At 39.5% G+C, this 25,328-nt stretch overlaps 1 protein-coding gene across 1 annotated transcript in view, besides 1 other annotated feature; it reads right to left on the bottom strand.

Annotated features, from left to right (window-relative positions):
- Positions 1–25,328, bottom strand: part of MYRFL (myelin regulatory factor like) — a 133,871-nt gene that overhangs the window by 80,742 nt on the left and 27,801 nt on the right. Inside the window, exon 2 of the mRNA NM_182530.3 lies at positions 22,986–23,076. Coding sequence (NP_872336.2) covers positions 22,986–23,076 — 91 coding nt within the window. The remainder of the gene's footprint in view (positions 1–22,985; positions 23,077–25,328) is intronic.
- Positions 6,383–6,552: an enhancer, noted in NCBI's record as "experimental_30867 CRE fragment used in MPRA reporter constructs". NCBI's record gives its function as "activates a minimal promoter by MPRAs in K562 erythroleukemia cells, with activity observed for the introgressed 12:70265669 variant allele {active_cell/tissue: K562}" and the evidence as "EXISTENCE:reporter gene assay evidence [ECO:0000049][PMID:34662402]".

The raw sequence follows: 25,328 nt of genomic DNA, 5'->3' as shown, positions 1-25,328 counted from the left end.
TCTTAAAAGGAGTTCAGGGGTTGTATAACAAGAACACTTTAAATTGCTGAGGAGAAAATAACTTTTTTCTGTTTTATATATTGAAGTGCAAGTAATTTTTTTTTTTTTTTTTTGAGATGGAGTCTTGCTCTGTTACCCAGGCTGGAGTACAGTGACATGATTTTGGCTCACTGCAACCTCCACCTCCCAGGTTCAAGTGATTATCCTGACTCAGCCTCCCAAGTAGCTGGGATTACAGGCGCCTGCCACCACACCTGGTTAATTTTTGTATTTTTAGTAGAGACAGGGTTTCACCATGTTGGCCAGGCTGGTCTTGAACTCCTGACCTTAGGTGATCTGCCTGTCTCAGCCTCCCAAAATGTAGGGATTACAGGCGTGAGCCATGGCACCCAGCCAGTAAAATTTTATTTTTAAAAAAATGTGTACTACCACTAAAGAAGTGTGAAAATCTCTGTTTCAAAAGACCTACAAGTTGCTTATAGCTCAGCATCTCTGTGATGCTGCATCATACATAAGCACCCCAACCTCTACTTGATTCTCTTGCTTGAAGAGGAAGCTTCAAGTTTAGTATGTTTAAAAGTCCAACATAATACGATGAAAAGCTTGCTTTTATCATTTATCAGAAAAGTTGTTTTCTCCTCAAATTAGTTCTTTATAATTTATTCACTTCCTATTAATAAGGGAAGAGAGGACACACATCTACTCTCCTCCAAAAATCCCACTCAAATAAATGTAAAGGAATAAAGAGACATAATAAAGAATATGAGCAGAGACCCCAGCAGACCAAATTTTAATAACATGGCAGCAGACAGAAATAGAATAGATGATAACTGAACTAGTAGAATGGACAAAACACAACCAAGACTGCCTGGAAATGGTGGAGGGAACAGAGGGATCCAACAAGAAGTTTTCCAATCAAACAAAACTCAAAAAGCCCAGGACGCAGGAGTCACCATGAGCTTCTGCATTCAGGGCTAAGGGTGGAGCTGAAAACAAAAGGATTGGTTGAACATTTGAACAAGAAACAACTGGAGGCCTGGCGCGGTGGCTCATGCCTGTAATCCCAGCACTTTGGGAGGCGGAGGCGGGCGGATCACGAGGTCAGGAGATCGAGGGCATCCCACCTAACACGGTGAAACTCCGTCTCTACTAAAAATACAAAAAATGAGCCAGGCGTGGTGGCAGCCGCCTGTAGTCCCAGCTACTCGGGAGGCTGAGGCAGGAGAATGGCGTGAACCCGGGAGGCGGAGCTTGCAGTGAGCCAAGATCGCGCCACTGCACTCCAGCCTAGCTGACCGAGCGAGACTCCGTCTCAAAAAAAAAAAAAAAAAAGAAAGAAAGAAAGAAAGAAAGACCTGGACCCTTATATTAGCTTCCCCACCCTGTAAAGCTACCTCCATCACCCCAACAGAAGTTGGAAAGGTTTACTCTCTAGAGAAATGGTCCCAGGGAAACTGTGGTACAGGGTTACCAGGCACAGTGAATGCTGTGGCTGAGCTACTGGGCTGAAAAAATAGAAGAATTCATTAAAAATCTAACCACTGAATTCTGAGTCTTTTCCTTAACTCTGTTTTGCATGTATCCAAGCAGATTTCCCACAAGTAAGAAATTGGAATAATGTTCCCAAGAAAAATGGAATGTACTCGAGGAAAACGTAGTATTTTCAAGTTACCAAGGAAATAGCCATCCCCTCCTTCATCACTCTACCAAGAAATTCATCCTTGGATGAGAACAATGGTTTGCACACAGAACTTTTTAAACACGAACAAACAATAAAGGACCAGACATTTTGAGAAAGGCTTTAACATTAAAGACAGAGAACAAAACCAGATAAATAGGGAATGCTAAAGAATCACAAAGAGCTCTTTTCGTTTTTTTTTCCCCCTTCTTATATGATGATTAAACTCCTACCAAATCTGACCCTCCCACAGAGAAACAGTACAAATGCTGGAAATACTTTAAAAACAAAAACAAAACAAAACAAAAAACACCACCTACCCAAAGACACTGGAAACTAGACAAAAGCAAGGAGATTGTGGTGGGCACTGAAACTTGGAGAAGGTACTGCCATACAGTGAGTTTCTTGTTTACAGCATTTAGTCTGAGGGCTGGTTGAAGTCAGAGCCACAGGACAGCTAACCTCCGATAGAAATCCACAGCCTTCCTGGCCTGAATAACCAGAAAACAAATTTTGGGGCAAACACAGCTGCTGAAAAGTGAAAGAGGAATCTTGGAAAAGAAAGATAAGAGCAGGGGACCCCTGGATTCTGTGTGTAACTCTGCCAAATCTATTGCTGACTCCTGATCTATCATATATGGGGCAGACTGCGCACAGCCCAACCAAAGACAACAGGACTGAACTGAAATTTGAGTTACTTCCCGAGACAAAGTTTACAATTTGAGTCTAAGCAAAGTGATTGACTACTAAAACAAAAGTATACTCTTCTGAGGGATGTAAAAGAATCCAGCCATTCACAATGTCCAGGTACAAAAACTACTCTACAACAGCAATCCCCAACCTTTTTGGCACTAGAGACTGATTTCATGGAAGAGATGGACGTAGTGGGGGCGGGGGATGGTTTCGGGATGAAACTGCTCCATCTCAGATCATCAGGCGTTAGTTAGATTTTCATAAGGCACATGCAATCTAGATCCCCCTCGCCTGTGCAGTTCACAACAGGGTTCCCGCTCCTAATGCCGCTCTAATGCCGCTGCTGATCTGACAGGAGGCAGAGCCCAGGCGGGAATGCTCTTGCAGCCAGGTTCCTATCAGGCCATGGACCCGTAGCAGTCCACCGGCAGGGGTTGGAAAAACTGCTCTCTACAAAGAACCAGAAAAATGTGGCCTAGCTTGGAGGGAGAGAACAATCTGTGAACACTAACCCAGAAATGATCCAGATACTGGATTAGCAGACAAGGATCTTTAAAGCAGCTACTATAAGAAGCTAAATGGAGCAGACAAGCACATGCTTGTGAAAAAAAATAAATAAAATCTCAGCAAAGAAATCAAAACTACAAATAAAAAAACTAAATAGAAATTCTAAGATTAGAAAAATTCCAGAAATAAAAATTTAAAAAAATTATTAGATGGGCTTAAAACAGAACTCAAAGATACATCAATAGACATCATCCCATCTAAACAACAGAGAGGAAAAAAATGAACTTTAAAAAAGAGAGAGAAAAAGAGATTTATGAACCTGCAGAGAGGATGAAACAGAAAAAAAAATTAAGATATAACAGCCAAAATCTTCCTAAATTTAGGAAAAGATATAAATGTATATATCTTTATGAAGATATATACTTCACTCTGATGTGGTAGATGTATTTATTTTGCTGAGCTTCTTAAAGATATAAATGTATATATCTTAGATATATACATTTATATCTTTAAAGATACATACATTTATATCTTTAAGAAGCTCAGCAAAATAAATACATCTACCGCATCAGAGTGGAGTAACTGTAAGCCAAAAATAAAGAGAAAGTCTTAAAAGTAGCTAAAGAAAAACAGTACCTTATGTGCAGGGTCATAGTGATTCAAATAATCACTGACTAATCAAAATCTCCAGAGGCCAGAAGACAGTACAAAAACATCTTTAAAGTGCTACAGAAAAACAAAATTGGTAAGCCAGAATTTGATATCCAATGAAAATAGTCTTCAAGAATGAAAGCAAAATAAAGATATTTTGAGATAAAAGAAAACTAAGTGAATTTGAGAATAGACATGTACAATAAGAAATGTTAAAGACAGTTATTCAGGCTAAAGGGAAATGGTTCTAGATGGAAATTTGAAACTATGAAAAGGTATGAAGAGAATAAAAATGATATATTATTGAATGTAAATTATTTTTTATCTTAATTTTTAAAAATACATCTGAAGGTGGGCACAGTGGCTCATGCCTATAATCCCAGCACTTTGGGAGGCCGAAGGAGAAGAGTTGCTTAAGACCAGGAGCTTAAGACTAGCCTGGACAACATGGGAAGACCCTGTTTCTACAAAAAATATTAAAATTAGCAGGGCGTGGTGGCATGCACCTGTGCTCCCAGCTACTCAGGAAGCTGAGGCTGAAGGATCGCTTGAGCCCAGGAGAATGAGGCTTGAGTGAGCCATGAGTTGCCACTGCTCCCTAGCCTGAGCAACAGGCTGAGAAGTTATTTCAAAAATAATAATAAAATAAAATAACAAAATAAAATACATTTGAGTGCTTAAAGTAAAAATTATGATTTTGTGAAGTTTATAATGCACATAGGTATAATACTTAGGACAGCTATAGCATAGGGGATGGGAGTTGGAGATCAATGGAACTACATTGTTGATGGTTCTACATTTTATGTAAAGTGGTACAATATTAACTCATTAACTCTAAGTAAACTGTAAAAAGTTAAATAATGCAAAGAAGTAGAACTAAAGTCAACAGATAAAATGAAATTCTAAAATTATTCAAACAATACAAAATAAACCAAGAAAGGAGTTACAGAAGAATAAGAAACAGAAGGGGCCAAAAAAAAAAAGACAGACAAATAATTAAATGTCAGACTTAACTACAGATATAGTCCTCCCTTATCCATGGTTTCACTTTCTAAGGTTTCAGTTACCCACAATCAACCTTGGTCCAAAAATATTAAATGGAAAATTCCAGAAATAAATAATTTGTAAGTTTTAAATTGCACTCCATTCTGAGTAGCATGATGAAATCATAAACCATGAATCATCCCCTTTTTCCAGTATATCCACACTGTATCCACTACCCACCCATTGTCTTAGTAGCCTAAGACAAAGACGGATTTCCTGCCACGATATCACATTGCTTGTGTTCAAGTAACCTTTATTTTACTTTATAATGGTTCCAAACACAAGACATGTAAAGTTGGCAATTTGTATATGCCCAAGAGAAGCCACAAAGTACTTCCTTTAAGTGAACATTTGAAAATTCTTGACATAGTAAGGAAAGAAAAAAAAATCGTGTGCTGAGATTGCTAGAATCTACTGCAAGCTTGTCCAACCCGCCACCCGTGGGCTGCATGCAGCCCAGGACGGATGCAGCCCAACACAAATTTGTAAACTTGTAAAAAACGTTATGAGATTTTTTTCTGATTTTTTTTTGGTTTAGCTCATCATCTATCATTAATCTTCGTGTATTTTACATGTGGCCAAAGACAATTCTTCTTCTTCCGATGTGGCCCAGGGAAGCCAACAGATTGGACACCCCTGATCTACTGTAAGAATTAATCTTCTATTCATGAAACTGTAAAGAAAGAAAAAGAAATTTGTGCATAGCATATATAGGGTTTGGTACTACCCTCAGTTTCAGGCATCCAGTAGAGGTATTGCAACATATCCTCCATGAATAAGGAGGTCTATTGTGCAATACTAATAATTACATTAGATGTTAAAAGATTAAACACTCCCATTAAAAGGCAGAAATTAGGCCAGGCACGGTAGCTCACCTAATTCCAGTGCTTTGGGACGCTGAGGCAGGAGGATTGCTTGAGGTTAGGAATTCAAGACCAGCTTCAGCAACATAGTGAGACCCTGTCTCTAAAAACAAAATGTAAAGGCCAGGCGTGGTGGCTCACACCCGTAATCCCAGCACTTTGGGAGGCCGAGGCAGGTGGATCACAAGGTCAGGAGCCTAAGACCAGCCTGGCCAACATGGTGAAACCCCATCTCTACTAAAAATACAAAAATTAGCCGGGCACAGTGGCGCACACCTGTAATCCCAGCTACTCACGAGGCTGAGGCAGGAGAATCGTATGACCTCAGGAGGCAAAGGTTGCAGTGAGCCGAGATCATGCCATCGCACTCCAGCCTAGGCAACAGAGCGAGACTCCATCTCAAAAAAAAAAAATTTTTTTTATTTAAGATTAGCCAGGTGTGGTTGTGCACACCTATAGTCCCAGCTATTCAGGAGGGTGAGGCAGGAGGATCACTTGAGCCCAGAAATTTGAGGTTACAATGAGCTGTGATCATGCCACTGCACTTCAGCCTAGGTGACAAAGTGAGACCCTGTCCCTAAGGGGGAAAAAGGGCAGAAATGATCAGAATGGATTTTTAAAAAGCAACTCTCTTTTGCCTGCAAAAACACTTGAAATATAAAGACACAGATAAGTCAAAAGTTAACCAAGAGAAAAATGTGTACAAGAAGGGTGAAGCAGTTTCATGAATAATAGCTAAAACTGACTTCAAAATAAAGAGTACCACCACAGACAAAGAGGCTCATTTCTAATAATAAAAGAGTCATTTTTTAGGAAGGCATAGGAATCATGATTGTTTATGTACTTAATAACAGAGTTTCAAAATACGCAAAGCAAAAATTAATGAAACTAAAAGATGTAGACAATTGTACAATCACATAGCTAAATATTTTAACATTCCTCTTTCATCGATGATAGAACACAATGGGGAGAACAAGTTGATAGAACCAAAAAGTCACTAAAGACATACATGGATTGAGGAGTTTATTGACGAGGAAAAGAATTGATTATTTTTAACATTGAGAAAAATTTTCAGCTCTTTTTAGAGAACTTGAGGGAACCAAAGCCAAACAAATTGTAAAAACAAGGCAATGATTCAAACAAAGCAAAAAAAAATGAAAATTATATGTGACACATCATGATAATGTAAGCCCTGGATATTGACATAACTAAAAAATTTTAGACAATTTTATGATATTGGGAAGCTGAGTGTAGAAGTGAATGTAAGATGTGATATAAGAAAATTAAATCTTCCCAGAAGATTATATTATGTTCTTCAAGTGTATACAGCAAAAAAGCAATATAAAAACATTATTTAGATATAGGGCAATAAAAATATCCAAAAAGAGGGCCAGGCGCGGTGGCCCACGCCTGTAATCCCAGCACTTTGGGAGGCCAAGGTGGGTGGATCACGAGGTCAAGAAATCAAGACCATCCCGGCTAACACGGTGAAATCCTGTCTCTACTAAAAAAAAATACAAAAATTAGCCGGGCATGGTGGTAGGTGCCTGTAGTTCCAGCTACTCGGGAGGCTGAGGCAGAATGGCGTGAACCCGGGAGGCGGAGCTTGCAGTGAGCCAAGATTGTGCCACTGCACTCCAGCCTGGGCGACAGAGCAAGACTCCATCTCAAAAAAAAAAAAAAAAAAAGAAATATCCAAAAAGAGTTGGAAAGTGGCTGCCTCTGGGGGAGCCAATTTAAAGACAGGGGTAGAGCAGGGGGATTGCTGGTAATCTCCTATTATATGCTATATACAGTATCATTTGACTTCTTAAATTCTTCACATGTATCACTCTAGGTCTATAAATTAAATTTTGTAACTGACTCTGTGATCTCATAATTCCACATTTAAGGCTCTAGGCAGTTGTTTAGTTACCCTGACACTACAGGCATCATTGAATTCAATAATGTAATAAAAACTGAAAATCACAATTAAATGATCAATCTACTAAAAAAAATATGGCTTGGCATATTGTAAACAGGAATGCAGTCTCCATCCAGCAGTCCCTTAACGAGAACCAAAAGTCCCTGCGTTGAGTGACAGGAATATGTGTTGGTGGTTTTAAGATGAAGATTTTAAAATATTAAATGCTGTCTTTAGAGTTCCTTCCCCTTCCAAAATTCACCACAGCTACTCCTTTATTTCATTGTATTTTATATGCTTCCATGCTCAATGCATTTAAATACAGTTAGAGAAATTTTGCACTTCTTTTCAGAGAATTTGAAGGGAGAATTAATGATAGCTACCTTCAAACTGACCAAATTGTTAAAACAAGAGCAATGATTAGCTCCTAGTAAAACACTTGTTTGGTATTTTTTCTTCACTTCTTAGCCCCTTTTACTCACAATCGTCATGTCAAGAATCCCAGAAATGCACATCAGACTGTGTTTCAGTCTTTGTGCGCCAAACTTGTCTATTATACCAAAAGGATTTCCATAAAGCAGACAAACACCAGAGAGCAACAGACACTATGGGTCATACCCTGAGCGGCCAACCCTGTCTCTAGCTTCAGCAGGAAAGAGTTGTAAAAATCAAGAGATTCGGGAGGCCGAGGCGGGTGGATCACCTGAGGTCAGGAGTTTAAGACCAGCCTGGCCAACATGGCAAAACCCTGTCTTCACTAAAGATACCAAAAAAAAAAAAAAAAAAAAATTAGCCAGACGTGCTTGCTTGAACCCAGGAGGCAGAGGTTGCAGTGAGCCGAGATCTCAACACTGCCCTCCAGCCTGGGCAACAGAGTGAGACTCTGTCCCAAAAAAAAAAAAAAAAAAAAAAAAAAAGGAAGAAAAATCAAGAGATTCTTAGCAGCTGATAAAAATAAAATAATTTGCCTTCTAAACTCCTTCCTCTCAGACATACAACTTGTTTTTTGTCTTTTGGAGGATGAACGGAGAAACAATCTCCCAGGGGTTGAATCTATGTGAACCAAAAGAGGGCGTACAAAATAGACTTTGCCCTCCAGCTAGTTGAGGTGATATGTACATCCATGACATATATGCTGCCCTCAATGCAGCCAGTATTTCTTTCATATTGCAACCAGGCTTACTAAGTCTTTACTGAGTGCCTACTGTGCTCATGACTCTACCAGACATTAGGCAAGACACATACACAGTGTGTCTTCATGTGAATATCTAGGTGGGATACTCACAATTGAGCCATCCAATCCTAGTTTTCTCCAATGAATCCCTCGGTGCCTTCATACAACACCAACCGCCCCTTCTCTAAAGCTCTATTGCACCTCACACTGAGCTCGGCTCAGCACAGTGCCCAATACAGAGTTGGTGCATAACAAATACGAAAGACTGTGTTAAACTACATATGACCATGAATATGCCGTATATATAAATCCATATATCAGGAGAGAGCTTTCCTGACCACCCAATCTAAAATGGTAGCCTCTCCTCCTTGCCTTACTCTTATTTGTCTTCATCTTACTGAGTGACTTTAGACTACCTGCCATTGTCTTTTTCTTCCCACCGGAGTGGCATGACAGTAATGGTGTGCCAAGGATGAGGGGATGGGAATTGCTCACCCCAGGTGCAGGCAATAAGGAAATGCATTGTCTGTAGACAATTTGAAAACAATACTAAGCCTACAAAGAGTCAGTCTGCTTTTTATTATCACCATGCATCACCAATTCTAAGAAAAATGCCTGGGTGCCCTGCCAGGGCAGACTGTACCCACCACACTGCCCTTGGGGAGCTACTGGCAGGGATTATATCTGTTTTGTTCACTGTTTTACCCCATCCTCCAACTATAAAAATGGTTGTTATTTAAAGTATTTCCTCCAATTTTTCATGTATATGATTTATCTTTCCGCATGAACTTTCACATTAAGAATATGTCTTCCTACTCTGTGTGTGAGTGTATGTGTGTGCATGTGTGTGTGCATGTGTGAGTGCATGTGTGCACGCACATGTGGGCATGTGTGAGTGCATATCTGTGTGTACGTGTGAGTACATGTGTGTGTGCGCGTGTGCGTACGTGTGTGTGAGTGCATGTGTGTGCGCGTGTGTGTGCACATGTGTGCATGCTGTGCATGTGTGTGTACATGTGCACTCCATAGTGCTCCAATGGGGAGACTGTGACAGGCACTCAATAAATACTTGATCAAGGTCAGTTAGGGCTTGTAACCACCATCTAGAAGTTGATACAGGAAAGGGTTTTGGCAGAAATGTTGTCAATGAGTATGGTTGCCCAAGAAAACCATTTCATGATATGGCAGCAAAAAACAAGGCAAAGAAGATGCCACTCCTCCCCTCCAGCTCTGTGCTGGCAGACTGCAAGGATCTGACCCTTTCACACCCCTCCGCTGCTGCTTTAGATGTAGAGAAACTTTTTTGAGAACCTACTCTGAGCCAGGCACCATGCTAACCCTTTGCATGTGTGTCTCATTTAACCTCCACAACTCTCATATGAAAAGGTACCATCATTGTACTTAATCCTCAGGCAATGAAACTGAGGTTTGGTCTGGCGCGGTGGCTCATGCCCGTAATCCCAGCACTTTGGGAGGCCGAGGCGGGTGGATCACAAGGTCAGGAGTTTGAGACCAGCCTGGCCAGCATGGTGAAACCCCATCTCTACTAAAAAAAAAAATACAAAAAAATTAGCCAGGCATGGCGACGCAAACCTGTAGTCCCAGCTACTCGGGAGGCTGAGGCAGGAGAATTGCTTGAACCTGGCAGGTGGAGGCTGCAGTGAGCCAAGATTGTGCCACTGCACTCCAGACTGGGCAACAGAGCGAGACTCCGTCTCAAAAAAAAAAAAAAAGAAAAAAAAAAGAAACCGAGGCTTGATGGGGTTAAATAATTCACTCATGATTATCATCTGGCAGTTAGTCGAGCTGGAGTCAGATGGTCTACCACCAGAGTTTATCCTCTAAATAACAGGGTATTTTAAATACAGACCATTCTAATAAAATTACTTATTATTATAGGTCGTTTCATCTGGCACAGATATCCTTAGAATCAAGGAGTATCAGATAATGTTTTAGCCCAGTCTTCTTCTTCAGGCTTTCTCTTATTATATCAGTTTGAACTCAGAAGTCAAACCAGTCACTGAACTCAAATAGTCTTTAACAAGCTCTTCTCACAGAACTCCACGTACTCTCTCACGCCCTTTTGAAACATCACAGTAGAGCTTATCAACCCCACTATAGTGATGGCAGAACCAAGACATGCAGCTGGTAATTGACTCCTAATTCATCTTGCCACCCAAACCCAATAAGCCAAGTCCTAAGTTAAACCCATAATATTAGATGCTTAAGCTCAAACATTAGAACGAAATAAAATGAAGCCTGCCGTTGATTCCTTCACAGATATAACATGTCTCTAAGTTTCCCCTCCTGTGACGTCCCCTATTCAAACACCAGTGTCCTCAGCTAGTTCCCTCCTACCCTTATACCAGATCTCAAAGGCTAAAGCTCATTTTATCTACCCCTACTAAGCACACTGACTCAAACCAAACTGCATTAATTTAGCCTGCCTTGAAGATTTACTAGTCTCTTTTCTAGACCCTTACCTTCCCTGCACACACGTGCATATAACACTTCTTGCCCTTTTTCATTGCAGTTTCAGGGTTTTATTCTTCCCCTAAGTCTCTCCAATCTCCCCCTCTCAAAGCAGCATTGCATACCTGGACATTTCCTAGTATGTCCCACCACCGTAGCTCAACTGTGTACCAAGTGGGTAACTGTCTGGCTAACCTAGGAAATCAGAGAGGACCTCAGCCTGCTCCTCCTAAGCAGACAACTAACCCAAACTCTACCACATAAGGAAATAAAGAGTTAAGGGCAATTTACACAAACCTTCACATGTTGACAGGACGGCCCTCAGCTCTGCATACATGCCTTATACATGTTCATACATGAATAATGCGTCCCAAATGGGGCCCACGGCCAAATAAGTTTGAGGAACACTTCATTCCGTTTCTCTTACCTAGTTGCACATTAGCACATTAAAGGCACTGAGAAGTCCTGCAGTAAAAACACTCATGTAATTTTGTTTAAGCCAGTGAGTCACAAGCTAATTTACTGACCATGGAACATTTTTCCTCACAGCATCTAATGGGACAAGTTTTTTATAGAGCATTTGGTCCTTTTTCATAAGGCCAATAATGCAATGTTTTAATATATTTAAGATCTGAAAATCTGCCTATGAGATTTCAGCTAGCTCTCAGAAATTTTGCAGCCCAGTGGTCTCTTAGGTTTTTGAGATAAAGGGTTGACACTGATATCTTTAGAAGACACACATTGTAGGCAATATGGTAGAGGGGAAGTAACATGATTTGTAGTAAACCCAGGTCTGAATCCCACCTCTAGTACCCAGGCAAAAACAAAACAAAACAAAACAAAAACCCTGCATCCCAGTGCTGTTGTGATATGAAACTATGAAATGAAACTAACCTGCATAAATACCCTGGTATTTAGAAATACTTAAAACTTGGAGTATTTGAACAGGTTGTACAGATCTAATGATCATTGAACTAGCCCAGTGTCCCTGCGGTCATGGACTAGCCATGTTTCTGCTTGTTCTCACTGAGATTTTATTGCAGTTCCACTTAACTGCATGCATCTGAGCATTTTTTTAATCAAGTATAGGTTATCTGATCATAGGGCTCTCCTTTAATGAACGTGAACTCTGACAATCTTTATGAACTATGGCTCGGATCTACTCTGAGTCACACCATTTGGTAGATAATTTTAGACACATTTCATGTATTTCCCTGAGATTCACATTCCTTTAAAATATCAATTAACCTAAAAGCTTCATGTGGAAGAAAAGGCATGTTTCTAGAGCCAGGCAGATTTTTATCTCAGCTTTGCCACGTATTGACCTATGAAGAGTTACTTAACCTCTCTGCACCTTATCCTCCCCATCTGTAAAACACAGATAATATACCTATTTGGAAGAGTTAAGAGAACGAGATATATTACATCAAATATATAATTAAATAAGTGAATATATGAAGTGCAAAGAATGCCCAACACTTAGTAAATGCTCAGCAATAGTAACTTCCTCTTCTACTTCACCTGCAAGCCCCATCACCCACCTCAAAGGTAGAGAGTGAAGCCTCTTGGGCAAACCAGTCCTGAATCTCAATAGCAAGGGGGAAGCCTATGGGTAGATATTTCTGGTCTGGTAGGAAGGACCATTATTATCACGGAGACTAAAATATAAGGCAGATTTCAGACCTCCCAGGTAGCTCAGAACACAATACCCCAAAGTATGGTGCCTTGGCATGCTGAGTACTTTGAAATGAAGGACACTGGAAGGACCTCAGAAGCAAGGTATCTCTGACCTTCCCCTGTCCTCCTGTCTCTCACCCCCTTTTCTCCCTCAGAGCAAATCACAGAAACCATAATTCTTCTTCCCCAAGATGGTTCATAGATACTAGAACTCCTCCCCATAAAGCGAGCCATAAAACCCAGAAAAGTCACTCTCTCCCTTCTGTCTCATTCCAAGGGGACTCTCATTCCAAAGAGACCCTACCTCATACCTTGGAAGAAGCAATGCTACAAAGAGAAGCCAAGAAAAATCTGAACAGACCCTGCTGGGTTTCCTCCCTCAGTCTATTACCATTAGATCACACCCTTTTGTCCACTTACATTTCTACACAGCTGTTCACTCCTCATTGAACCCAAGCATAAAAATAAAAATAGTTTTCCCTGAGTCTCTGGGTTTCATTTCTGAAGACTCCTGCATCACATAAAACTTTAATTAAGTAAATTGTTTATGCTTTTCTCTTGTTAGCCTGTCTTTTGTTATAGGAGTGTTGGTTGTGACCATTATGATGGACAAGGAATGGTATCACACATTTCCATCCCTGTAAAAGACAGCTCTTTGATGAAGACCTTTGTTCACTTTTCCTTCTAAACAGCTAAAGGTCTTTCTGTTAGTTATAAAAAGTAGTCTAGATGATTATACAGAACCCAGGTGGAATCAGCGGAACATTCGCTTTAGGAGAAGACACTTAAGAGGAGAGAGACCATACAACTTTTGGCAGGTTGCTTCCAGGTCAGAGAAAAGGATATATCCATTGTCCACAATTCATACAAGTTACTGGGATGTAGTGAGAGGAATGTGAGGGCAGGCACAGGGGCAATTAGGATCTGAGTTCAGCCCATGCAGCGCCTAGCACAGAACAGCCAGCTCAGAGTGTGGGCTCAGACATTTGGCAACCTACTAGCTCTGTGTGTGTGTGTGTGTGTTTGTGTGTGTGTGTGTGTGTGTGTGTGTGTGTGTAACTTCCTTGAAAAATGTTGAACTCACCTTCTTCCCACAGTTTGTTGCCAAGGAAGTTTCTCTTGGCAGAGAGTAATAAGAGCCAGGTACCAGAAATATCTGCATACAGGTTTCTCCACTACTATTGAGGATTCAGGCCTGGTTTCACTCTCTGTCTTAGGAGGGTAGGGGTATTTGCAGGTATGCTGAGGTGGGCTCAATAACAGAATGGAGATGACAGTGACAGAGGAGAGTCAGTGAACTTAAAGTCAAATCAATAGAAATTATCCAATATAACCAACAGAGAGAAAAAAGATTGAAAAAAAAATGAACTGAGCCTCAGTGACCTGTGCAAAATATCAAAGGTCTAACATTTGCATTCTTGGAGTTCTAGAAGGGAAAAAGAAAGACACTGGTAAAGAAAAATAAATGTTAAAAAACAATGGCTACAAATTTCCCAGATGTGGTCAAAACTATACATTTACAGATTCGAATTTGAGCAAATCCCAAACAGTACAATATAAAAAAAGGCTCATACCTAGAAACATATAATCAAACTGCTGAATACCAAAGATAAAGAAAATATCTTGCAGATGGAGAAAAATGATGTATTACATACAAGGGAACAATGATTCAAATAGCTGTTTATTTTTCATCAGAAACCATGGAGGCTAGAAGGCAGTGGGTCAACATTTTTTAAATGCTGTGGGAGGAAAAAACTCTAATGACCAAGTATTTCATATTCAGCAAAAATGTCTTTTAAAAATGAAGTTGAAATAAAGACATTTTCAGTGGAAGAAAACTAAGAAAATCTATCACCAACAAATCTGCTCTAAATGAAATTCTAAAGGGAGTTCCTAAGGTGGAAGAAGAATGATGCCAGAAAGAATTGTGGAACTTCCCAAATGAAGAAGACCAACAAAAATGGGAAATGCTTGGGTCAATGTAATAGCCTACTTTTTCTCTCTTAAGTTCCTCAACATATACATGAGTGTTGAAACCAAAGATTATAGCATTGTCTCATAGAGTTTTAAATATATATAGATGCAATACACATGATAGCTACAATATAAAAGGGAAAGAGAAATGGGACTTTTATGGCTATAAGGTTTCTACTTTTCATGTGAAGTGGTAAAATATCTTTAAATTGACTGCAAGAGGTTAGGTATGTAGATTGTTGTCCCTCGAGTTACCACTGAAAATAAATTTCTGAATAGATCAATAACAGGCTCTGAAATTGCGGCAATAATCAATAGCTTACCAACCAAAAAGAGTCCAGGACCAGATGGATTCACAGCCGAATTCTACCAGAGGTACAAGGAGGAACCGGTACCATTCCTTCTGAAACTATTCCAATCAATAGAAAAAGAGGGAACCCTCCCTAACACATTTTATGAGGCCAGCATCATCCTGATACCAACGCCGGGCAGAGACACAACCAAAAAAGAGAATTTTAGACCAATATCCTTGATGAACACTGATGCAAAAATCCTCAATAAAATACTGGCAAACCGAATCCAGCAGCACATCAAAAAGCTTATCCACCATGATCAAGTGGGCTTCATCCCTGGGATGCAAGGCTGGTTCAATATATGCAAATCAATAAATGTAATCCAGCATATAAACAGAACCAAAGACAAAAACCACATGATTATCTCAATAGATGCAGAAAAGGCCTTTGACAAAATTCAACAACCCTTCATGCTAAAAACTCTCAATAAATTAGGTATTGATGGGACCTATCTCAAAATAATAACAGCTATCTATGACAAACCCACAGCCAATATCATACTGAATGGGCAAAAACTGGAAGCATTCCCTTTGAAAACTGGCACAAGACAGGGAGGCCCTCTCTCACCACTCCTATTCAACGTAGTGTTGGAAGTTCTGGCCAGGGCAATCAGGCAGGAGAAGGAAATAAAGGGTATTCAATTAGGAAAAGAGGAAGTCAGATTGTCCCTGTTTGCAGATGACATGATTGTATATCTAGAAAACCCCATTGTCTCAGCCCAAAATCTCCTTAAGCTGATAAGCAACTTCAGCAAAGTCTCAGGATACAAAATCAATGTACAAAAATCACAAGCATTCTTATACACCAACAACAGACAAACGGAGAGCCAAATCATGAGTGAACTCCCATTCACAATTGCTTCAAAGAGAATAAAATACCTAGGAATCCAACTTACAAGGGATGTGAAGGACCTCTTCAAGGAGAACTACAAACCACTGCTCAATGAAATAAAAGAGGTTACAAACAAATGGAAGAACATTTCATGCTCATGGGTAGGAAGAATCAATATTGTGAAAATGGCCATACTGCCCAAGGTAATTTATAGATTCAATGCCATCCCCATCAAGCTACCAATGACTTTCTTCACAGAATTGGAAAAAACTACTTTAAAGTTCATATGGAACCAAAAAAGAGCCTGCATTGCCAAGTCAATCCTAAGCCAAAAGAACAAAGCTGGAGGCATCATGCTACCTGACTTCAAACTATACTACAAGGCTACAGTAACCAAAACAGCATGGTACTGGTACCAAAACAGAGATATAGATCAATGGAACAGAACAGAGCCCTCAGAAATAATGCCGCATATCTACAACTATCTGATCTTTGACAAACCTGACAAAAACAAGCAATGGGGAAAGGATTCCCTATTTAATAAATGGTGCTGGGAAAACTGGCTAGCCATATGTAGAAAGCTGAAACTGGATCCCTTCCTTATACCTTATACAAAAATTAATTCAAGATGGATTAAAGACTTACATGTTAGACCTAAAACCATAAAAACCCTAGAAGAAAACCTAGGCATTACCATTCAGGACATAGGCATGGGCAAGGACTTCATGTCTAAAACACCAAAAGCAATGGCAACAAAAGCCAAAATTGACAAATGGGATCTAATTAAACTAAAGAGCTTCTGCACAGCAAAAGAAACTACCATCAGAGTGAACAGGCAACCTACAAAATGGGAGAAAATTTTCACAACCTATTCATCTGACAAAGGGCTAATATCCAGAATCTACAATGAACTCAAACAAATTTACAAGAAAAAAACAAACAACCCCATCAAAAAGTGGGCAAAGGACACGAACAGACACTTCTCAGAAGAAGACATTTATGCAGCCAAAACACACATGAAAAAATGCTCATCATCACTGGCCATCAGAGAAGTGCAAATCAAAACCACAATGAGATACCATCTCACACCAGTTAGAATGGCAATCATTAAAAAGTCAGGAAACAACAGATGCTGGAGAGGATGTGGAGAAACAGGAACACTTTTACACTGTTGGTAGGAATGTAAACTAGTTCATCCATTGTGGAAGTCAGTGTGGCAATTCCTCAGGGATCTAGAACTAGAAATACCATTTGACCCAGCCATCCCATTACTGGGTATATACCCAAAGGACTATAAATCATGCTGCTATAAAGACACATGCACATGTATGTTTATTGCGGCACTATTCGCAATAGCAAAGACTTGGAACCAACCCAAATGTCCAACAATGATAGACTGGATTAAGAAAATGTGGCACATATACACCATGGAATACTATGCAGCCATAAAAAATGATGAGTTCATGTCCTTTGTAGGGACATGGATGAAATTGGAAATCATCATTCTCAGTAAACTATCGCAAGAACAAAAAACCAAACACTGCATATTCTCGCTCATAGGTGGGAACTGAACAATGAGAACACATGGACACAGGAAGGGGAACATCACACTCTGGGGACTGTTGTGGGGTGGGGGGAGGGGGGAGGGGGGAGGGATAGCTTTAGGAGATATACCTAATGCTAAATGATGAGTTAATGGGGGCAGCACACCAGCATGGCACATGTATACATATGTAACTAACCTGCACATTGTGCACATGTGCCCTAAAACTTAAAGTATAACAATAATAAAATAAAAAAAGAAAATAAATCTATATGAAGAGTTTAAAAGGCAATCAATATATTAAGATGGAATACTAAAAATCTTCAAACAATTTAAAAGAGGGCAGGAAAGGGGGAAAAGAAGTACAAGAAGCAGAGGGGATGAACATTTTTTAAAAGAAAAAGATAGACTCAAATCCAAACATATCAATAATTAATTTAAATATAAATTGTCTAAGTTGAGACAGAAATTGTCCAATTAGATAGGGAAAAATACCCAATGATACGCTGAATAAAAAAACTAATTTGATATATATAGGTTACAATTAAAGGATGGCAAAAGATATATAACAAAAACACTAATCAAAAGAGAGCCGAAACTATTCACAATAGCAAAAACATGGAATCAACCTAAATGTCCATCAATGATAGAATGGATAAAGAAAGTGTGGTAATATACACCATGGAATACTATAAAACCATAAAAAGGAATGAGATCATGTCCTTTGCAGGGACATGGATGGAGTTGGAAGTCATTATCCTCAGCAAACTAATGCAGAAATGGAAAACCAAACACCACATATTCTCACTTATAAGTGGGAGCTGAATTATGAGAACACATGAACACAAGGGGGAACAACATACACTGGAGCCTGTTGGGGGGCCCAGGTGTTGGGGGCAGATGGAGAGCATCAGGAAGAATAGCTAATGGATGCTGGGCTGAATACCTAGGTGATGGGATGATCCTTGCAGCAAACCACCTAGGCACACGTTTATCTATGTAACAAGTCTGTACATCCTGCATATGTACCTCTGAACTTAAAATAAAAGTTGAAGAAAAGAAAAAAAAAGAGAGCTGCAGTGGCTAGATTAATATTGGACCAAATAGACTTCCTAGATGCCTGAGGAATTGCCACACTGACTTCCACAATGGATGAACTAGTTTACGTTCCTACCAACAGTGTAAAAGTGTTCCTGTTTCTCCACATCCTCTCCAGCACCTGTTGTTTCCTGACTTTTTAATGATTGCCATTCTAACTGGTGTGAGATGGTATCTCATTGTGGTTTTGATTTGCATTTCTCTGATGGCCAGTGATGATGAGCATTTTTTCATGTGTTTTTTGGCTGCATAAATGTCTTCTTTTGAGAAAAGAAAAAGGAGATAAAAAGGAACATCACTCTGATAAAAGACTAAGTTCACCAGAAAGACAAAACAGTACTAAATGTGTTTGCACTTAACCACATAACTTTTCAATTCAATACAATTATGTTTTCACAAAATCCAATAGAACTGATGGAGAAGTAGAAACATCCACAATCACACTTGAAGACTTCAACATTTCTGTCACTGTCGTAGATAAAATTAGTAGAAAGCAATCAGCAAGGATATAGAAGACCTGAACAAGAATGTCAACCAACTTGACCTAACTGATATTTATAGAATACTATCCAACAACAGCACAGTGAGCATTCTTCCAAGTGCATACGTAACATTCACCAAGATAGATCATATTCTGGGTCATAAAGCAAACCTTAACAAAATTTGAAATCATACAAAGGATGTTCTCTGTTCATAATGGAATTAAACTAGAAACCAGTCACAGAAAAATATATGGAAAATTTCCAAACGTTTGGAAGTTACATAATACATTTCCAGCAACCCATGAGTCAAAGAAAGTCAAATAAAATTTCTCAAAAGAAATTTGAAAGTATTTTGAACTGAAAAAAATATATATATATAGTATATCAAAAACTGAGTGAGGCAGCTAAAGCCACATACAGAGGGAAATGTACAGCATTGAATGCTTAAATCAGAAAACAAAGTTTAACCTCAAATCACAAACTCACTTTCCACTCTAAAGAACTAGAAAAATAAGAGCAAACTAAACCCAAATTAAGCATAAGGAACAAAATAATAAAGATAAGAGTAGAAGTCAGTGAAATTGAAAACAAACATAATAGAGAAAATCAATGACATCAAAAGCTACCTATTTGAATCAATCAATAAAATTGATAAACGTCCACATTGATTAAGGAGAAAAGAAAAAAAGAAACAAACTACCAATATGAAGAACAAAAGAGGGAATATCACTACAGACTCTTTAGAGATTAAAAGGTTAATAAAAAATACTATGAATAACTCTATGGCCATAAATTTAACAACTTAGATAACATTGATCAATTCCTTGGGAAAAAAGTAAAACAAGCTAACTCACTTAAGTAGAATGAGATACCATAAATAGCCCTGAATCTACTAAATAAATTAAATTTGTATTTAAGACCCTCCAACAAAGCAAAGGAACAGATTATTTTGCTGATTAATGCTACCAAACATTTAAGCAAGAAATAAATCCAATTCTACACTATCTCATCCAGAGAATTTAAGTGAGGGAATTTCCCAACGAATTTTAGAAGGGTATAGTTGCTGTGATACCAAACCCAGAAAAAATAAAATATAAAAAAACAAAACTGTGATCAATATTCTCATAAACATAGATGCAAAATGCTCAACAAAATTTTACCAAATTGAATCCAGCATTGTATCAAAAGATAACATATCACAATTAACTGAGATTTATTCCAGGAATACAAGGCAGTTCAATAATCAAAAACTAAGCAAAGTAATCCATTATATTAACAGATGGGAAGAAAAAACATATAATCAATAAATACAGAAAAAAATTGACAAAATTCAACATCCATTTATGATAAAAATTATCAGCAAACTAACAGTGGAAGAGAACCTCCTTAAGCAAATAAAGGGCATGGTTAAAAAAAAAGTATCACTAACATTACACTTAATGATAAAAACTAAATGCTTCCCCTCCAAGGTCATGGACAAGGCAAATATGTCTAGTCTCACTATTTCTTTATTCAATACTATACCCAGGTCTTACCTACTTCAGCAAGGCAAGAAAGTATCAAAAGATATACAGTTTGAAAAGAAAGACATACAACTGTCTCAATTTGCAGATGACATGACCTTCAACATAGAATATCCCAAGAAATATATATTTTAAAAAGTTATTAGAACTAATAAATGACTTAATTAAGATTACAAACCCAATATATGAAAATCAATATTTCCATATACTAATGATGAATAATTGGAACTAAAAATTGAAAAAAAACCATGATGTTCAAAGAAGAACATGAAATATTTAGGAAAATATGTGCAGTATTTTTATGTTGAAAACTATAAAACACTGATGAAAGAAATCAAAGAAGCCCTCAATAAATAGATATACCATGTTCATAGATTGGAAGGCTCAATTTTGTTAGAATGTTAAGTCTCCTTAGATAGATCACTAGGTTTAATAAAATTTTAATCAAAATCCCAGAAGAATTGTTTAAATATTGACAAGCTAATTCTAGTGTTTATGTGGGAAGTCAAAGAAACTAGAATAACCAAGACAATATTGAAACAGAAGAAAAATTCAGAGGACTTACACTATATTATTTTAAGGCTTATAATAAAGTGCCTGTGTACAGTAATAAAGATCATGTACAGTAATCAAGATAATGTTGTGTTGGCAAAATGATAGGCACGTAGATCAATGGAAAGGAATGAAGAGTCTAGAAATAGACCCACATATATTTTGTCAATTGATTTTTTACAACTGTGCAAAGGTAATTTAATGAAAGAAAGTTATTTAACAAATGATTCCAGGATAATTGGACATCCACATACAAAGAAACTAATATAAATCTGTATCTCAAGCCTTTTACAAAAAAAAATCAAAATGGATCATAGACCTAAATATAAAACTATAAAACTTTTAAAAGAAAATCTTTGGGAACTTGGATTAGGTAAAGTCTATACTTCTTAGCTATAAACCGTAAGTCATATAAGAAAAATTCAATAAATTGGACATCATCAAAATTAAAACTTTTGCTCTGAGAAAAACACTGTTAAGATTATAAAAACATAAACGACAAACTTGGAGAAAATATTCATGAATAACATATCTAACAAACTTTTTATATCCAGAATATCTAAAAATTTTTCTAAACTTAAAGAAAACAAACTCAATTTTTAAAAATGGGCAAAAGATTTGAATTAACACTTCACCAAAGAAAATGTATAAATGGTGAACTAGTACATGAAATGATGTTCAACATCATTAGTTATTAGAAAAATGCACATTAATACATGGTATGTCATTACAAACCAATTAGAATGGCTATAATAAAAACAATTTTAAACTCATAATACCCAAGAATTGGCAATGAAGAGAAGCAATTGGATATCTCATGCATTGCTAACAACACAAAGTGGTACCACCACTCTAAAAATGTGGATATTTTTACAGTTAAACTTACATTTACAACATGATCCAGCAGTTCTTATCCTAAGTATTTATCATAGAGAAATTTAAACTATTGATCACACAAAAACCCATACATAAATATTTATAGAAGCATGATTTACAATTGCCAAAACTGGAAATAATTCAAATGTCCTTGAACAGATAAATGGCTAAACAAGCTGTTATAATCACTTAAAGGTATCTTTCTCTGTAACAAAGAAGGAATGAAATATTGATCAAAGACATTATGCTAAATGAAAGGAGGCAGACTGAAAGTGTTATATACTGTATGGTTTCATTTATGTCACATTCTGAAATAAATCAAAACCATAGCAACAAAAAACAGACCAGTGGTTACCAGGGGACAGTGTAGATGGTGAGTCTGATCACAAATGAACGGCATAGGGAAATTTTTCAGTGTTGTGTGTTATGATAATGGTAGTGGTTATATTACTATGAACTTGTCAAAACTCAGAAATTTATACAAAAATTTGAACTTCAGTAGATGTAAATTAAAAATAAAAAAGGCCAGAGTGCCTATATTAATACCAGAAAATAAGAGCAGAAATCAATGAAATAGAAAACAAAAAGTAAGAATTTTAACTTTAACCAAAAGCTGGTACTTTGAGAGATTAAAAAAACTGATAAACTTCATGTCAGATTAACCAAGAAAAAAAAAAAGACAAGTTACTGACATCAAGAACAACAAATGAATCATCACTATAGATCCTACAGACATTAAAAGTATAAGTGAATACGAAGAACTTTATGCTGATGAATTTGACAACTTAGTTGAAATGGACAAATTCATTGAAAGACACAAACTGCCTAAGCTGATTACTATCAATAGATAACCTGAATAGCTCCATATCTATTAAATATACTGAATTTGCGGGTGGAGGTGAGGAATGACTGGAATTTCTCACAAAGAAAATTCTGCAGTGGTGATATTTGTCAAAGATCCATAGACATAATAATGTCAACTCTACCCAAGTTATTTTGGAAAACAGAAGAGGAGGGAACACTTCTTAGCTCATTTAATCATTTCATAATATTTTAAACATCAACTAGAGAGCAGTGCTCTCATTACTTACAAGGCCCCCAAATCAAAGTCATTGCCCAGAAATTCCTCCAACAGACTTGTGTCCAGGGCTGGGTTCTCCAGAGTACCATTGGCTCCCTGAGCTGCAAAGGCAAATTGAAAATCTTGAGAAACATGAAGATTTCAGTATGGCCAATGGCTAAAAACACTGACAAATCTTTAAGGTCAGGGACTGTGTCTTTCTTATTGTATCCACAAGGATCAACAGCATGGAAGAGGCACAAAGTAAACATTGATTCAATGGGTGGATGGATGGAAGGATGGATGGCAGTTTTGTTGGTAGGCCAAATTATTTCCAGTTAAGTTCAACAAGAAATTCAATATCTTGTTTCACACTTTCTTTAGACCTGCCAAAAGGTAGCAAAATAGTTCTGTCCTTTTCCTTGTTTACAAAATGAAAATAAATGTACTGGTTTCTTACTGACTATAATAAATATGTTGATATTTTTATAGAATAAAATATAGGGCTGCATACTATAAAAAAGACAAAACTGTTTTTATTTGCAGATAACATGACGCTATACAACTGATAAACAGAAATATTCAGAAAATTAAATAGGGGTTTCGGGTGATGGGTACACTAAAAGCCCAGACTTTATCAGTATGCCATATATGCATGTAAGAAGTCTGTCCTTGTACTCCTAAATATATAAAAATTAAAAACTTAAAAATAAGCTGGCCTGGCATAGTGGCTCACGTGTGTAATCCCAGCACTTTGGGAGGCCAAGGGAGGTGAATCATTTGAGGTCAGGAGTTCAAGACCAGCCTGATCAACATAGTGAAACCCTGTCTCTACTAAGAATACAAAAAAATTAGCCAGACATGGTGGCATGTGCCTGTAGTCCCAGCTACTCAGGAGGCTGAGGCAGGAGAATCCCTTGAACCCAGGAGGCAAAGGTTGCAGTGAGCCGAGATCACACCACTGCACTCCAGCCAGGGTGACAGAGTGAGTCTCCATCTCAAAAACAAAAAAATTAAAAATCCTCTCCCTCTCCCTCTCCCTCTCCCTCTCCCTCCCCCTCCCCCTCCACGGTCTCCCTCTGATGCCCAGCCGAGGCTGGACTGTGCTGCCGCCATCTCGGCTCACTGCAAACTCCCTGCCTGATTCTCCTGCCTCAGCCTGCCGAGTGCCTGAGATTGCAGGCACGCGCCGCCACGCCTGACTGGTTTTTGTATTTTTTGGTGGAGACGGGGTTTCCCGTGTTGGCCGGACTGGTCTCCAGCTCCTGACCGCGAGTGATCTGCCCGCCTCGGCCTCCCGAGGTGCCGGGATTGCAGACGAAGTCTCACTAACTCAGTGCTCAATGTTGCCCAGGCTGGAGTGCAGTGGCGTGATCTCGGCTCACTACAACCTCCACCTCCCAGCCGCCTGCCTTGGCCTCCCAAAGTGCCGAGATTGCAGCCTCTGCCCGGCCGCCACCCCGTCTGGGAAGTGAGGAGCATCTCTGCCTGGCCGCCCATCGTCTGGGATGTGAGGAGCCCCTCTGCCCCACCGCCCAGTCTGGGAAATGAGGAGCGCCTCTTCCCGGCCGCGATCCCGTCTGGGAAGTGAGGAGCGTCTCTGCCTGGCCAACCATCGTCTGGGATGTGAGGAGCCCCTCTGCCCCGCCGCCCAGTCTGGGAAGTGAGGAGCGCCTCTTCCCGGCTGCCTCCCCGTCTGGGAAGTGAGGATCGTCTCTGCCCGGCCGCCCATCGTCTGGGATGTGAGGAGCCCCTCTGCCCAGCCGCCCAGTCTGGGAAGTGAGGAGCGCCTCTTCCCAGCCGCCATCCCGTCTGGGAAGTGAGGAGCGTCTCTGCCTGGCCGCCCGTCGTCTGAGATGTGGGGAGCGCCTCTGCCCCGCCGCCCCGTCTGGGATGTGAGGCGCGCCTCTGCCTGGCCGCGACTCCGTCTGGGAACTGAGGAGTGTCTCTGCCCGACCACCACCCCGTCTGGGAGGTGAGGAGCGTCTCTGCCCGGCCGCCCCGTCTGAGAAGTGAGGAGCCCCTCCGCCCGGCAGCCGCTTCATCTGGGAAGTGAGGAGCCCCTCCGCCCAGCAGCCACCCCGTCCGGGAAGTGAGGAGCGTCTCTGCCCGGCAGCCGCCCTGTCCAGGAGATGGGGGGCAGCCCCTGCCCGGCCAGCCGCCCCGTCCGGGAGGGAGGTAGGGGGCAGCCCCTGCCCGGCAGCTGCCCCGTCCGGGAGATGGGGGGCGCCTCTGCCTAGCCGCCCCGTCTGGGAAGTGAGGAGCCCCTCTGCCCAGCCGCCACCCCGTCTGGGAGGTGTACCCAACAGCTCATTGAGAACGGGCCATGATGACGATGGTGGTTTTGTCGAACAGAAAAAGGGGGAAATGTGGG

This window comes from Homo sapiens, chromosome 12 (genome assembly GCF_000001405.40).
Source record: "Homo sapiens chromosome 12, GRCh38.p14 Primary Assembly".
NCBI classification, from domain to species: domain Eukaryota; kingdom Metazoa; phylum Chordata; class Mammalia; order Primates; family Hominidae; genus Homo; species Homo sapiens.
The sequence above is the reverse complement of the archived record's forward strand: the minus strand, read 5'-3'. Positions and strand labels throughout refer to the sequence as shown.